This window comes from Homo sapiens, chromosome 3 (genome assembly GCF_000001405.40).
Source record: "Homo sapiens chromosome 3, GRCh38.p14 Primary Assembly".
NCBI lineage: Eukaryota > Metazoa > Chordata > Mammalia > Primates > Hominidae > Homo > Homo sapiens.
Window position 1 is genome coordinate 150,286,366 of NC_000003.12, and position 15,784 is coordinate 150,302,149.

Here is a 15,784-nt window from a genome sequence, read left to right on the forward strand (position 1 = left end):
CCTCCGGTTGTTTACAGTCCACTGGGGATACCTACCTAGTGAGCAGAGACACAGAGTGATAGGCTCTTTGATAAAGGCAGTCACAAGGTGAGGCCCCAAACTCACAGAGCAAGAAACCAGAACAAACTTTCTGGAAGGGGTTTGTCCTGAGCTGAGTCTTGATGAAGGTGAAGGAGCTGCTTAGGAAAGAAAGAGATCAAGAGAAAAGGGCCTGGCTCTCTAGGTCTTTCCGCATTCACATTAGACTAGTCCGCTCTTAAAATGTTTTGGTTTTGAGTTTGGTTTTGTCCGTGAATTATTTTATCTCTAGGTCAGAACATAGTGTTAAAGGAGTGAAAGCCACACCAGACACCTTAAAATGTCTCACACTAACCACAAGGGGGAGTAGGTTAAAGATGGCTGAATTCAGGTAACTCACTCATCACCATCACTAAAATCCACCAGTAAGTAGCCTAGTGTTGCGGGGCATGGGCCGAACCTCCCTATAAAGGCAGCTTTGCTTACTGAGTTATTCATTTTATCAATCTGTGTACTTTTCAACAATCACTTTAACATGTAGGCAGAAAATAAGAAATATTCAGTAAAAATATGTAAAACAAATTTATTAATTCAAGTATTTATTGAGTTCCTATTATTTGCCATGTAGATATTACAATAATATTCTAATCATATATATAAGCCTTTGTAAAGAGGTTTACGGCTTTAATTTTTTCCTCATTTACTCATTTGTTGCTCTAAGCCTGAATTTGGAGGTGTTCAAAGACTAGAAAGACAGGCATAGACAAGGGTATGTCGATGTATAGAGAATGGGAGAAGGAGGGAGAAGGAATGGTTTGAAAGTATCTTCAGAACAGGCTGCATAAGTGACAAAAGTTTTCAAAAGTGGGGTTTGTGGATACCTTAAATTTGTGTGTAGTGCCACAGTTTGTAGAGTTGGGAAAAAAAAAAAAGAGTTGGAGGATGATGGTCAGAACTCACCATTTATTCATTCATGGTAGATGTGGGTTCTTCCCTTTCCTCTAGGCTCTAAACAATTGGTTATCTTTGGGACCACTGAAAGAAAGATCACATTTCTGATCAAAATTTAGGATACATGGTCTGCCACATATAAGTGTTTTTATAAGGAAAATGGGATAAACATTTAAAAGCAGGATTGTCACTTTTTTGTCCCTTTTCAACGTTAAAGATGTCAAAATAAGAACATCTTGGTGAGTCCTCTGGTGAGATCTCTCTCTCTCTCTCTCTCTCTCTCTTTCTCTCTCTCTCTCTCTTTCTCTTTTCCCCTCTTGGCTCCCAGGACTAAGAAAAGGATAGATCAAAGGGACAGTAAATACAGCCTATGCCTGGAAGACTTAATATCATAGCTGTTTTGTTGGGGATGGAATCTGGAGGTTGCAATAGAGTGAAAGGAAAAATGATCTAGGAGTTAAGACACAGGTAAAATTCTGGCTTTGCTGCTAAATATCTGGATGTGTTGGGCAAGTCATTTAGTCAACCTAGGCCTCAATTTCTCTATCTGTAGGAAATAATGATGGCTGAAATTTGTTAAACATGTATTATGAATCTATCAACAGTTCTTAGAGGCTTATTTGGAGGGGGATGAATAGATCAGTGGTTTTCAAACTTAACTTTATGCAAGGGAATCCTTTCGTAAAATGAAGTCTTGTATGGCTCCCCAATGCATAGCACAGATAAAAGTAGTATACCTCTTTCATAAGTTACTGTGTATGGCATTTCCTCATGAGACATTTGAAGATTATCATGATCTGTGATTTCTACCACATCAAGCCTTGATCTGTAACACATTTGAGTAGTAAGCCTTTTTTAACTTAGTTTTTCAAATAATAAAATAAATGTAATGAAATGCGTGTGGATCCCTAGAACACAGTTTAAAAGCCACTGAATGAGTTTATCTCTGAGGTCTCTTCTGAATCTGATGTTCTCCCCATCTGAGCCTGGCTCAGATGGCAAAAACTCCTGCCAAGAACACATACACACCCGTCACTTTTCTCCCCCATGAAGGAAGATGCCTCTTATATTTCCCAGCAGAAATCAATGCCTAATATTAAAAACATGTCAGTGTGACTAGTTCTAATTCAGTCTCTCCTTCAACAAGTTTTGGGGACAAAGGTATTGCTACATCTGTGACAGTTGTAACTGCTTTGGGATTCTACTTGGACTCACAGTGTGTATATCTGAATATTCCCAGAAGTATCTAGTCAAGCTCAATAAAATTTTGAATGTCAGCAGAACTGAAATCCAGTATATAAGAAACCTGAACTAATATCACATAGTGAATTTCAACAATGCTGCTTGGATGGTAAGAGAGGTTCTCATCACTCTTTACCTGTGTGACCCTGGCCACTTTTCATTTGGGACCTTGTTTCTTGAACTAGAGATCAACATTATTTCCTTTCCAGCTGAAGTATTCTTTGTTCTCTAGTTAGTTAACATCCTTCTGTGATCAGCTGTACTACCTGCATCTCCACCACTTCTCATTTACCAGCTGGGCTGTTTTCACGGACATACATTCGGTACAGATTTTCCACTGTGTAATTCTGGTGATTCTACATATGAATTAAATGTTTTATGTTTGCACTTAAAACTGGAATTGCATGATATGAGATGAATGGTAAAATTTACATTTTAATTTTTAAGCTCAGAACAACATTAAATAGCAAATAAAAGACATAAAATATTTATGTATGAATTTAACAAAATATCTATAAGATCTCATGGGTACAAGAAGAAAACTACAAAACTCTAATGAAAGAAATCAAAGTAGATCACTAATAAATGAAGAGATATTCCATGTTCATGGATAAGAAGACTCAGTGTTGTTAAAATATCAGTTCTTCCCAAGTTGATCTACAGATTCAATGCAATTTCAATAAAGTAGTCCAGAAAGTTACTTTGTGGTGACCAACAAACTGATTCTGAAGTTTACATAGGGAGGCAAAAGACCCAGAATAACCAACAAAATATTGAAGAAGAATAAAGTCAGAGGATTGACACTATACTTCTTCAAGAGTTACTACAAACTGCAGTAAGCAAGACAATGTGGTATTGGTGAAGGAATAGACAAATAGAGCACAGGAACAGAATAGAGAATCTGGAAAAAGACCTACACAGTATTGTCAACTGATCTTTGACAAAGCTAAGTTAATTCACTGGGGAAAGGATAATATTTTCAATAAATGATACTGGAACAATTAATCATCCACATGCAAAAAATGAATATAGAATCTAACCTTATACTACACAAAAATTAACTTAGAATGGATGACAAACCTAAATGTAAAACTATAAAACTTCTAGAAGACAACATTGATGTTGGATTTCATTACAATAAAACATGTCTGCTCTGTGAAAAATTTCATTAAGATGATGAAAAGATAAGGCACAGACTGAGAAAAAATATTTGCAAAGGACATATCTGAGGAAGGACTGTTACCCAGGATATACAAAGAACTCTTAAAACTCAACAACAAAAAACAAACAATCTAATTAGAAAGAGAGCAAAAGATCTGAACAGACACCTCTGCAAAGACGATATACAGCTGGCAAGTAAGCATATGAAAAAATGTTCCACATCATATGCTGTTACAAATTTGCAGATTAAAACAAAAATGAGATACCACCACATACCTATTAGAATGGCTAAAATCAAAATGAGTTAAAAACTTATGCCCACACACAAAAGAACTGCACATGAATGTTTACAGCAAATTTATTCACAGTTGTCAAAAATTGGAAGTAACCAAGATGTCTTTTGGTAGATGAATGAATAAACTGTGGCATATCCATACAATGAAATTTGGCAATAAAAATAAGCTATCAAGCCATAAAAAATCATGGAAGAGAAAGCTTAAATTCATATTGCTAAGTAAAAGAAGCTAGTCTGAAAAAGCTACATATTATGTAATTCCAACTATATGACACCTGAAAAGGCAAAACTATAGAGACAATTAAAAGATCAGTGGTTTCCAGGGATTGGGGGAAATAGTGGGGAAAGGATGCAAAAGCAAAGCACAAGGAATCTTCTTTTTTTTTCAACTTTTTTTTTTTTTTTTGAGTCAGGGTCTCCCTCTGTCACCCAGGCTGCAGTGCAGTGGTGCAATCTTGACTTACTGCAACCTCCACCTCCTGGGCTCAAGTGATCCTCCCAACTCAGCCTCAGTGGTAGCTGGGACTACAGGTGTGCCCACCATGCCCAGCTAAGGTTTTTGTACTTTTTTGTTGAGACGAGGTTTTGCCAGTGTTACCCAGGCTAGTCTCAAATTCCTGGACTCAAGTAATCCACCCTCTCAGCCTCCCAAAGTGGCAGGATTACAAGCGTGAGCCAACACGCCCAGCTCCAACTTTTATTTTAGACTCAGGAGGTACATGTGCAAGTTTGTTACCTGGTTATATTGCATGATGCTGAAGTTGGGTGTACAAATGATCCTGTCACCCAGATACAGAATAGTACCCAACTGTTAGTTTTTCAACCCCTCCTCAACTCTCTAATAGTCCCCAGTGTCTATTGTTGCCACCTTTATGTCCATGAGTTCTCGATGTTTTGCTCTCACTTATAAGTGAGAACATGTGGTATTCGGTTTTCTGTTCCTGCATTAATTTGCTTAGGATGATGGCCTCCAGCTCCATCCATGTTGCTGCAAAGACCACAGTTTTGTTCCTTTCTTTCTTTTTCTTTTTTTTTTTTTTCTTTGGAGACAGAGTCTCACTCTTGTCACCCAGGCTGGAGTGCAATGGCACGATCTCCGCTCACTGAAACCTCTGCCTCCCAGGTTCAAGTGATTTTCCTGCCTCAGCCTCCTGAATCGCTGGGATTACAGGCACCTGCCACCATGCCCAGCTAATTTTTTTTTTTTTTTGTATTTTTAGTTGAGATGGGGTTTCACCACGTTGGCCAGGCAATTTTGTTCTATTTCATGAGTGTGTAGTATTCCATGGTGTATATGTACCACATTTCCTTTATCCAACCCTTCATTGATGTGCATGTAGGTTGGTTCTATGTCTTTGCTATTGTGAATAGTGCTGCAGTGAACATGCAAGTATTAAGTGTCCCTTTGGTAGAATGATTTGTGTTCTTTTGGATATATACCCAGTAATGGGATTACTAGATCAAATGGTAGTTCTGTTTTAAGTTCTTTGAGAAATCTCCAAACTGCTTTCCATAGTGTCTGAACTAATTTACATTCCCACCAACAGTTTATAAGCTTTCCCTTTCTCTACAATCTCACCAACATCTGTTGTTTTTTGACATTTTAATAATAGTTATTCCCACTGGTATGGGATGGTATCTCATTGTGGTTTTGATCTGCATTTCTCTGATGATTAGTGATGATAAGCATTTTTTCATGTTTGTTAGTGACTTGTATGTCATCTTTTGACAAGTGTTTGTTCATGTCTTTTGCCCATTTTTTAATGGAGTTGTTTTTTGTTTGTTCAACTCTTTAAGTTCCTTAAAGACTCCAGGTACTAGATCTTTGTTGAATGCATAGTGTGTGAATATTTTCTCTCATTCTGCAGGTTGCCTGTTTACTCTGTTGATAGTTTCTTTTGCTGTACAGAAGCCCTTTAGTTTAACCAGGTCCCACTTGTCAATTTTTGTTTTTCTTGCAATTGCTTTTGAGGATGTAGTCATCAATTCTTTCCCAAAGCTATGTCCAGAATGGTGTTTCCAAAGTTTTCTTCTAAGATTTTTATAGTTTAAGGTCTTACAATTAAGTCTTTAATTCATCTTGAGTTAATTTTTGTATATGGTGAAAGATAGGGATCCAGTTTCATTTTTCTGCATATGATTAGCCAGTTATCAAAGGATATTTTTGATCAGAGAAAATATTCTGTATGATACTGTAATGGTAGATATATGACATTATGCATTTTTCAAAACATGTAGAACTAAACACATTAAGAGTGAACTCTAATATAAACTATGGATTTTAGTTAGTAACTATGTGTCTATATTGGTTTGTCAGGTATAACAAATGTACCACACTAAATGCAAGATGTTAACAATAGTGGAAACCTGGAGGGAGTAATATGAGAACTCCACTTTCCACTTTCTTATTTTTTCTTTTCTTTTTTTTTTTTGTAAATCTGAAATTGCTCTAAAAACTAAAGTCTAGTAATTAAATACAACACCACCATCACAAGCCGAGAGAGAGCACGAAAGAGAATAAAAAGCTTTTTTTAAGTACCTTTAACAGCACTTTTTTTTTTTTGCATTGCTTTCTGAACAAAGGGTCCCACATTTTCATTTTGCTGTGGGGCCAGAAAATTATGTAGCCCTGTTTATCACTTTGTATAAATAATAGCTAATGTTTATTTAGCACATATTATGCAACAGGTATTATGGTAAGTACTTTCACATGTTACTTCATTTAAAATTCACAACCCTGATATTTTATATATTTTATAATGATCTCTTTTACATATTTTAAAATATTTTATAATGATATAATTAACCCCATGATAATATTTTCATGCCTATTTACAAATAAGGAAATCAAGGTTTAGAGAAGTTGAGTGTGTTGATCGAAGTCACTTAGCTGGTAGGAGAAAGGGTCAGATTTGAACCCAACCATCTGATTCCCAGCTCCTAACCACCAGCTATAACCACCACCATGTTAGATTTCAAGCTCTCTGAGGTACTTCTTTAGCTATGCTACTGACCACTAAATATAAACCTCACTGACTACAATGCTCAGGCATGTGCCCAAAGGATAGCCCTGCGATTTTAATCATCCTGGGTGTAATGTAAAATATTCCCAGCCAGCAGATACTTTTAACAAAACCCCTCAAATTCTTTGGATGATGCAAGCTGCATAAATGCACAAGAGTTATACGAACATTATGAACAGTACTTCTTTAGAGACTTATAAATTACGAAGAATTAATTTTCTCTTAAAAATATGCACTATGTATGTATGGTTTTATAAAGCAGACCTGGGTAATCAATTTTGAACTGAGAAGGCACACACTAGATTTGAACATCAACAGCAAAAAATCAAAAATAATCCTCTTAAGCTTCTTTGGCTAAGTTCTTTGCCATACTTGTTCCTGCTTTCTTTCTGTCTTGCTCAGCACATAGCTATGGGGTTAAGCAAAGGAGACCTTTTCATCTGTGTGGGTTATGAGGCGCAGTTGTCTGTACAAAGTTTAGGGCTCTCTGCCAATTCCATAGGCCTCAGCTCTGCAGCACAGATGTATGCCTCAACTTACCAGATAAACTAGGCTCCAGTCTCTCTCATATTAACAACTGATCTTAAAAGGAATCTGAATGAACGTGTCTGCCAAAGTTGGCTCTGTACTTCTGACTGAAAACCACATCTAACTGAGTGGTTGAATCTGTCATGGAGGGACTCGGGTCTTGGGAGGTTTGAAGTACAGTAGGGGGTTTTAGTCCTGCTGTGACGAAGCTAGTTAGTCCATGCATCTCTTCTTCTTTGGCGCATGGTGGAAGCATGAGGGATATGTTATGATAAAAATCCCAATTATGCCTTCTACCATCTGTTAATAGCATGTGCTTGTGTACACGTTGCCAGGAAATATCGAGAACAAAGGAATGAGAGGCCCTCATTCCAGAGACATGGCTCTCAGCTCCCACTGAGGTTCACTGGTTTGGTTACAGATGTGTCGATGTCCTCAACACCCAGCCCCACATAACACGGAAGTGCACGGTCCTGGGCAAAGCTAGACTCATCCAGGTCTGTTTGGGAAGAGGGACCCAGTGGAATGCAACATTGATGTTTTTCTTATAATGTCTCAAAAATACAATTAAAATGGAGATAACCATTTAGCTCCCACATCATATGTGTACATGACACTGACTTACAAAGTCGTTTGAAAAATACAGATCTCCTTGAAAAAAAGGCACACATGGCATGCGTTAAATCAAGTTTTGTAAAACAATTAAAGTTTAAGCTTTTATTACGTTTTAAATATGTGAGTTGGAACCATTGTACTTTATCACATCAGGGGATTTTTTTTTCTTCAAGATGAGTGAGAATAACTATAATAGTCGTGAAACTATTGTAGAAATAAGCAACAACTTTGTATAGATAATTGGAACCCACAGATAAAGTAATATACTGAGCCATTGGTTTCTACCTCTTTCTAACTACATTAGTGTCAGAGTTAACAACTAATAAAAATTCTACTAGGCTGGGTGCTGTGGCTCACACCTGTAATCCTAGCACTCTGGGAAACCAAGGCGGGTGGACAACTTGAGCTCAGGAGTTCGAGACCAGCCTGAGTAAAATGGTAAGACCACGTCTCTGTGAAAAATACAAAAATTAGCTGGACTTGGTGGTGGGTGCCTGTAATCCCAGCTACTTGGAGTGTTGAAGCAAGAGGATCGCTTGAGGTTGAAGAGGTTGAAGCTACAGTGAGCAGGGATCACCCACTGCACTCCAGCCTGGGTGACAAAATGAGACCCCGTCTCAAAAAAAAAAAATTCTATTATATTTTTAAGATCTTTTTTATAATGTGATCCTAGAAAATAATCTGGACCTTAAAAGATGTGTTTAAAACATTACTAAACAAAATTTATTTAGTTTCAGAGTAATCTTCTAATGAAGACTCCTGATTCTGTTATTATAACACACAATCAGGGATCTCATCATACAGACTACATTCAGAAATTCCTTGGTAGAAGTTAGAAATGTGCCTGTGAGAGCAAGGATTCTTTATCTACATATAAAATAAAACAAAAGTGGAACCATATTTTTGTCCCCAAACATCCCTTTGATACTACCATTGAGGTTTCACAATTAGGACAGTTTTCTTCCAGCACCCTCACTAAACGACACCCCTCTACTCTCATCTTGCACAATTCCCTTCCTTCCTCTCCAGCAAACATTCCTCTATTTTCCTTTGCCAGGTGAGTCTTATGCTGCTGCACACCCACCCTGAGAGCTGGCTGCCCTTAAGAGGAAGTTCACTTAGAACATCTTGATTAAAATGAAATTTGTGCATTGTTTTCTAGTGTGGCCTGCACACCCTGGAGATGAAAAAATTGATGCTCAAAAAGTGAAATGACTATGACATGGCTTCTTAATATAGCTGCTAGGGATACAATTTCTGATCCCTATTTTAGTATTCCCTTTTCCTGCCTCTCTCTATTCATTTGTCTTTTGCTTCTCTACTCATTCCCTCTGTGACCCTAGCTGAACTCCTAGCTCCAATTTAATCATAATGGTTTCTCCTCAACCCTTTTCTCACAGGACTGCATGAGTTAAGAAGAGAAAGTCCTCCTCTTCCAAACTTTCTTCCTGTAAACCCTTCCTCTGTCATTCCTGTACACAAAATTTAAAAAGGTTAATACTTAGGTATGTTATTTTTAGTGGGTTGTTTAATTAAGAAAGCAATGCTTATAGAATACTTGAAAGATATAATGCATGAAACAACAGTTACCTGTAAATCTACAACCCAAAGATAACCACTGTGAAGACACTGATGTATTTTCTTTCTTATAATTTTCTATATAGAGCTATATGTTTTAGCATTTTGGGGACTGTACTGGAGCTATAGTTTTGCTACCAGATTTGTTTCTCATGTCACTAAAAATTATTGAAGAGCATAAATGTAATCAATGCCTTATAGTTTATCATACACTCTAAAGAATTTTGGACTACTGGCTAATCATTTTTAATTGACTCTGTCTTAATGGTGTGCTGCTGAACTGGCTCTCTTAAAAAAGAGCTCTGACTTACTGTATTTGCCAGATTCCATGGTATAAGTGCTCCTACCATGGCAAATTTCAACAATCGGCCCACAAAAATTCCTAAAAATGTAATCAGTTATTGTAAGCTGGTATGTACCGGTCCCAACAAACCACTGACTATCAAATATTATAAAGGTTACATATTTTGGCTCTCAAGCAGCCTACACCTAACTAGGGCCCTTGATAAACAAGGAAATGACCTTTAAACCCATAGTTACCTCCATTTTCACCATACTGTATTTCATCTAGCTGTGTTCCTAGTTGACAGCCTTCACTTCAGAGTGACTATCTCCAGTAATGACCTTTAGAGTGTATCATAATGGCAGACAACTTGGAATATGCTTAAATAGTTTTCTTTACATTCCTTACCCTGGTTGTTCAAAATCACTTTCCATAGTCTTGTGCTTCCTGCCTTTCATTGCTATTCAATCCTAACGGTTTCCAGATGTTTAACTTCCATTCAATTACAATTACATATGGTTTGAACATGGAAGAGGTCAGTTAATCTGAAATTAAAAAACAAAGTAAAACACTAACGTGTAACTGACTTTGCGGGTAGGCAGGATGAGCTTCCAAGCCATCTCTTCAGTGACTGCTGACAACTTGCTCCTTAAAGAAAAGTCCTAGAACTGTGACATAAAGATCAAACAAATAGCTTTTCTGAAAGTTTTATTACCTAGAATGGGATTCTGTAGGCCACCACCTTCAGAGTAAATGTGTCAAATTTGAATTTATAATATTTCATCCATCATCACATTATAATAACCCTTGGTCTTCTTAGCTAAGTAAAAAGTTAAGTAAAATTTTCAGATTCCATCTAAATTACATCTCTTGTTTCCCCACAAAGCTTAGTGCAGTGCTTACCTGTGGTGACAATTATCAGTACACATTTATTGAGTTAATGAAGACTGACATGGGCATAAAATGTATTGCAATAGAGTAAAGGCTGAATATTATGGGGCTACTGTATCACGAATAAAGCTAAGGAATTGAAAGGACCTGGGTTGAAATCCGAGCTCCTTATTTGCCAGCTGTGTGAACTTGAGTAAGTTATTTAATCTTTCTGAGCTTCCATTTCCTCACCCAAATATTTGCATAACAACATCTTCCTTTGTAGGGTGGTTGTAAGGTGTTTCAGTTATTTCTTGCTATGTAACAAACTACTCAAAACTTAATGCCTTAAAACAGCCATTTATTTTGCTTTTGCTAAATTGTTGATCAGGAATTTGGGAAGGACTCAGCTGGGTAATTTGTCTCTGTTCCACGTGGCATCAGTTGAGTTGGCTGGAGGTGGAAGGTTTGAGATGTATGGCATATTTATATACTTATATGTATTAGCTCCTTGATGCTTCCTGGCCTCTCCCTCTTATCCTCTAAGGGTGGGGGTTGCAGACTTTTCCTGTAAAGGTCCAGATAGTGAATATTTTAGGCTTCAAGGGTCTTATGATGTCTGTCACAGCTATTCAACTCTGCCATTGTAGCATGAAAGCAGCCACAGACAATAAGTAAGCAAATGAGTGTGACAGTTGCAATAAAATTTTATTTAAGTTTCATATACTTTTTACATATCGCAGACTGTTGTTATTCTTTTGGCTGCCCCTCCCTGCCATTCTTAGCTAGAAAGAATGTGATGAGCCAGATTTGGCCCATGGGCTATAGTTTACTGACCCTTATTCTTGGGCCTTTCCATATAGCTTGGGTTTCTCATGACATGGTGGTCCCAGAGTACTCACATTTCTTACACAGTAGCTAGGTCCCCATATCAAATATTCTGTGAGGCAGGAAGTGGAAGCAGGTAAAATCATAAGGCCTGAGTCTTGAAACTGGCATAATGTCACTTCTGCTGTATTCCCTTGATCAAAGCAGTCATAGGGCCCACCCTTATTGGATGGGGTGGAGAAATTGAGGGAGTGGAGATTGGACGGGTTGGAGAAAATCTCTTCTTGATGGGACGTTGGCTAGGTCACATTGCAAAGGAGCATGTGGAAAGGAGAGATTATTGTAGCTACAAATGCAACCTACCACATGAGGATTAGGAATAATATTTATAAAGTACCTGCTTCTCATGATATGCACCCAATGAATGATGACTCATATTGCTATTAATAGTGCCATTATTAACTTTAAGTGGGGAGCAATTGGCACTGAGATTCATATTGACCTTCTTAGAGGAAAAAGGTAGTGAAAAATTAGGCTTTTAAGAAATTCTCACTTGTGTTTCCCTCGTCTGCAGTAATGGGGCCCATAATAGTAACTGTTTTTGAGTTGTTTTAAGAAGTTTATTGAAATAAAATATGAAAAGTGCTCAACTAGAGCACACTTGGCATGAGCGTCAGAACTGTTCATTATTACTATTTTATGTCATGGTTTAGAAATAATGTATTGTTTTTGATTATCATAAGCTTTTCTAGGACTTCCAAAACCTAGAATCTAAAATGCATTGGCTGGGCATGGTGGCTCATGACTGTAATCCCAGCACTTTGGGAGGCCGAGGTGGGTGGATCACCTGAGGTCAGGAGTTCGACACCAGCCTGGCCAACATGGTGAAACCCCATCTCTACTAAAAATACAAAAATTAGCCAGGGGTGGTAGTGGGCACCTGTAATCCCAGCTACTTGGGAGGCTGAGGCAGGAGAATTATTTGAACCCAGGAGGCAGAGGTTGCAGTGAGCCCAAGATCATGCCACTGCTGCACTCTAGCCTGGGTGATAGAGCAAGACTCCATCTCAAAAAAAAAAAAAGCATCAAGATGCCACGTCACAGGATTTAATAACTTCAGAAATTTTATAACTGATACATTCAAGAGAAAAATGTTTTTAAAAATTGGAGCTTGCATTATTAAAAATTACATATATAACAATATAATAGATATAGGTAAATACATCCATTCATGTACACATCGAAGTCAAATTTTGAGGTAAATTTTCCATTGGAGTTACATTTTTAAACAACTAGCCAAATATGATATAATTATATTGACCACTATAGGAGCAATCACATAAGAAGAGAAACACTAAAACAGAAAAGAAACTGATTCAGAATTGTAAATAGGGTGCAAACTGGGGTTTTGTTGATTGATACTGGTTTCAACAGATGAGTTTCTAAAACAAGGCAGCAAATGGATAAAAGGATCAGGACACCAGTGAAAGCTCTAAACAACTGCAAATAAATTAGATTCCTGAGTAATAAATCTTGAATCTTGCTGTTTGATCACCCTTATCAGGCAGAAGCCTGAGAAAATAGAGGAGCTCTCCATCCTGCCCAGAAGGTCAAGGACACACTTGGCATCATCAGCTCCACATTCCTAAGGGGAGGACCCTCCACCGAGAATGCAAAGAATGGCTTCTTGGTCTGGATAAAACCACTGCTTCTGGGGCTGTATTTCCGCTGGCCCATGGCAAGGCAGCATGCAGCAGCTTAAGAATAACACACTTTGATGCTATTCAGCCATTTAACAGAATCTTTGCTGACATGGGAAAACAGCCCCCAATATGTTGTTAAGAGAAAAACAGGCTCAAAGCTGTAAATATAATGTGATACAATTTTTGTCAAGCAACATAAGATACATGAAAAAAACATTATAAGGCTTTGCCAAACATAATGGAAGCCACCCACGTGCGACAGGATTTGGGGTAACTTATTTTCCTGTTTCTTTTGAGTTTTTATTTGTTTTCCAAATTTTCTGCTATATGTGTTATTGCTAAAGTACGTAACAGTTATTTTAAGACATAACTGAAGTAGAAGGAAGGCAACAATAAAGTGATACTGAGAGTAAATAAAACATAATATATTTGTCAGTGCTTAGTAAACAAATCAGTGCCCTACCTCAGCACATAACATTTCAAAGTAACCACAACATGCTATGTTAAATATTTAATTTAAATTTTTATGTGAGGCTGAATTAGGAGGTATTATAAATATTAGGTATTGCTATACTTCATTAGCTAATCAAAATTTATCAAGAAAAATGCACATGAAATTGCTGTTGCCAACATATAGACTCATTTAAAAGTCTTTAAAAGAAATACTGTCATGTTAGAGACCATGACATTATCATGTCTGAATTATGGGGTCTATTCGAAGAGGTTGTGGTGGAATCAGGTGGCAAGGTGGGGGAAGGAAATCCATTCAAATCAACCAATATACAGTAATCTCCTGTTATCTGTGGGGAATATGTTCCAAGACCCTCAGTGGATACCGGAAACTGCAGATATAAATTCTATATGTACCATGTTTTTCATATACATTAATACCTATTATGAAGTTTAATTGATAAATTAGCCACAGTAAGAAATCAACAGTAATGAATAATAATGTAGAACAATTATAACAATATGCCAGCATCTCTACTCTTGCACTTTGAGGTCATTATTAAGAAGCATAAGAGTTACTTGAACACAAGCACTGCAATACCATAACAGTCCATCTGATCACCAACATGGCTACTAAGTGACCCACAGGCAGGTAGCATATCCAGTGTGGATATGGATGCCCTAGACAAAGGGATGATTCATGTCCCATGCAGGGCTGAGTGGAACGGTGAGAGATTTCATCACCACAAAACAATGGGCAATTTAAAATTTATAAATTGTTTATTTCTGGAATTCTCCATTTGATTTTTTTTTGTCCTCAATTGACGACAGGTAACAAACCACAAATAAGGGGGAACTACTGTATGTATTATGCTTTTCGGGGGAAAAAGCCATTGAGGATGGAATTTCTGAGCTTCCCTTAGGTTGTGTTGGCATGACGAAACCGCCCTTCCACAAGGCAGTCGCTACCTCCTTGATTTCTTTATCTCCAGTGCCTAGTGTGTGCTGCAAGGTATTGCCCAGTAAATATCTGTGCCATGAAGAAGGCCAAAGTCTTGCTTACAAGGTGGTGAATGTGCTAAAAGTAATCCCAAGGTCCATATTGGAGAAATACTACTTTGAATTAGAGTCTTGCCAACACAAAGCACACTCGCTTACTATTAAACTGATACGATTATCAGTATGATAAGAAATGATTATCATTTCCTTACACTTACTCTATACTTGCTTACTCACTAACTAGTCATCAGTCACAGGCTGTAAAGTCGGAAGGAAAAACAAACTGCTGCTTCCTGCTGTAAATTCTCTAACTACACTTGTGAAGTCTTTTCGTTTTGTCTCCTTTTACTTTTAGAGAGCCCCCTTTTTATTTTAGTCCAATCAACTAAAATAAGACAGGCTTTTGGTTTAGCCTAGTATTCCCTGAATTTATGGGAAAGAGAATGGCTTTGTGTCTAACTAGATCTGTATGCCAACTTGGGAATATCAGTTCTCAGAAAGCATTATTTCAGTCTCTTCGTATTTGATTTTGTTTGAATCTCCTGTGCTGCCTCACCTATATGGTTACTTAACAAGGGCTGTTCTGAACGCCCAGTTTGGTTGCTGAAGGTGATTGATAAGTGATACACTTTTGTCCTTATGGAGTTTGTCCGTCAAACTGTTTCCACATACTCTGTAAATTGGGAACTTGGCTTGTAAGTTCCAATCCCCATGAATCCTCAAGAACAAGGAACTGACCCTGTTGTTCCTATATTAAAAGCGAATCCAGGAAAGAAGGAAGCCTTCGTGTGCACTTGTCCATTTACCTCATTCCGGATGGAGAAGCACATGCTGATCACTTGGGGTCCCTTCCAACTTTACCAAAATTTGCTGTTTATTCCTTTGTGCATTGTTTCAACAAATAGTTGTTAAGTGCTAACAATGTACAGAGCTATGCAGTAGGTTCTCCAGGGATATACGGTTGTAAAAGACATACCTCTAACCCTCAATAAATTTACATTACATGCCGATTTGCAATCTAGTTAGCTCAGGCAAATTCTCTTCCAAATAAATAATACACATAGGAACAATTCCACCCCAAGCCAGTGGCCTACCTATTTAAAAAATATTAGAAGCTGCCTAATTTCTGTGTGTTTTTTAAAAGATGTATCTGCAGAGTCACATACAGAAACATTCGAATTGTTAATTCCTAATTACGAGTTAAAGTTCCTGCTATTCTTCCTTAGGAGACTAGGTGTTG

The 15,784-nt window shown here is 37.5% G+C and overlaps 1 long non-coding RNA gene across 1 annotated transcript in view; it reads right to left on the bottom strand.

The window, feature by feature from the left end:
• LINC01214 (long intergenic non-protein coding RNA 1214) overlaps nt 1–15,784 on the bottom strand; it is a 58,341-nt gene that overhangs the window by 20,959 nt on the left and 21,598 nt on the right. The window contains exon 2 of the long non-coding RNA NR_110186.1: nt 10,103–10,239. This is a non-coding gene — a long non-coding RNA (long intergenic non-protein coding RNA 1214). The remainder of the gene's footprint in view (nt 1–10,102; nt 10,240–15,784) is intronic.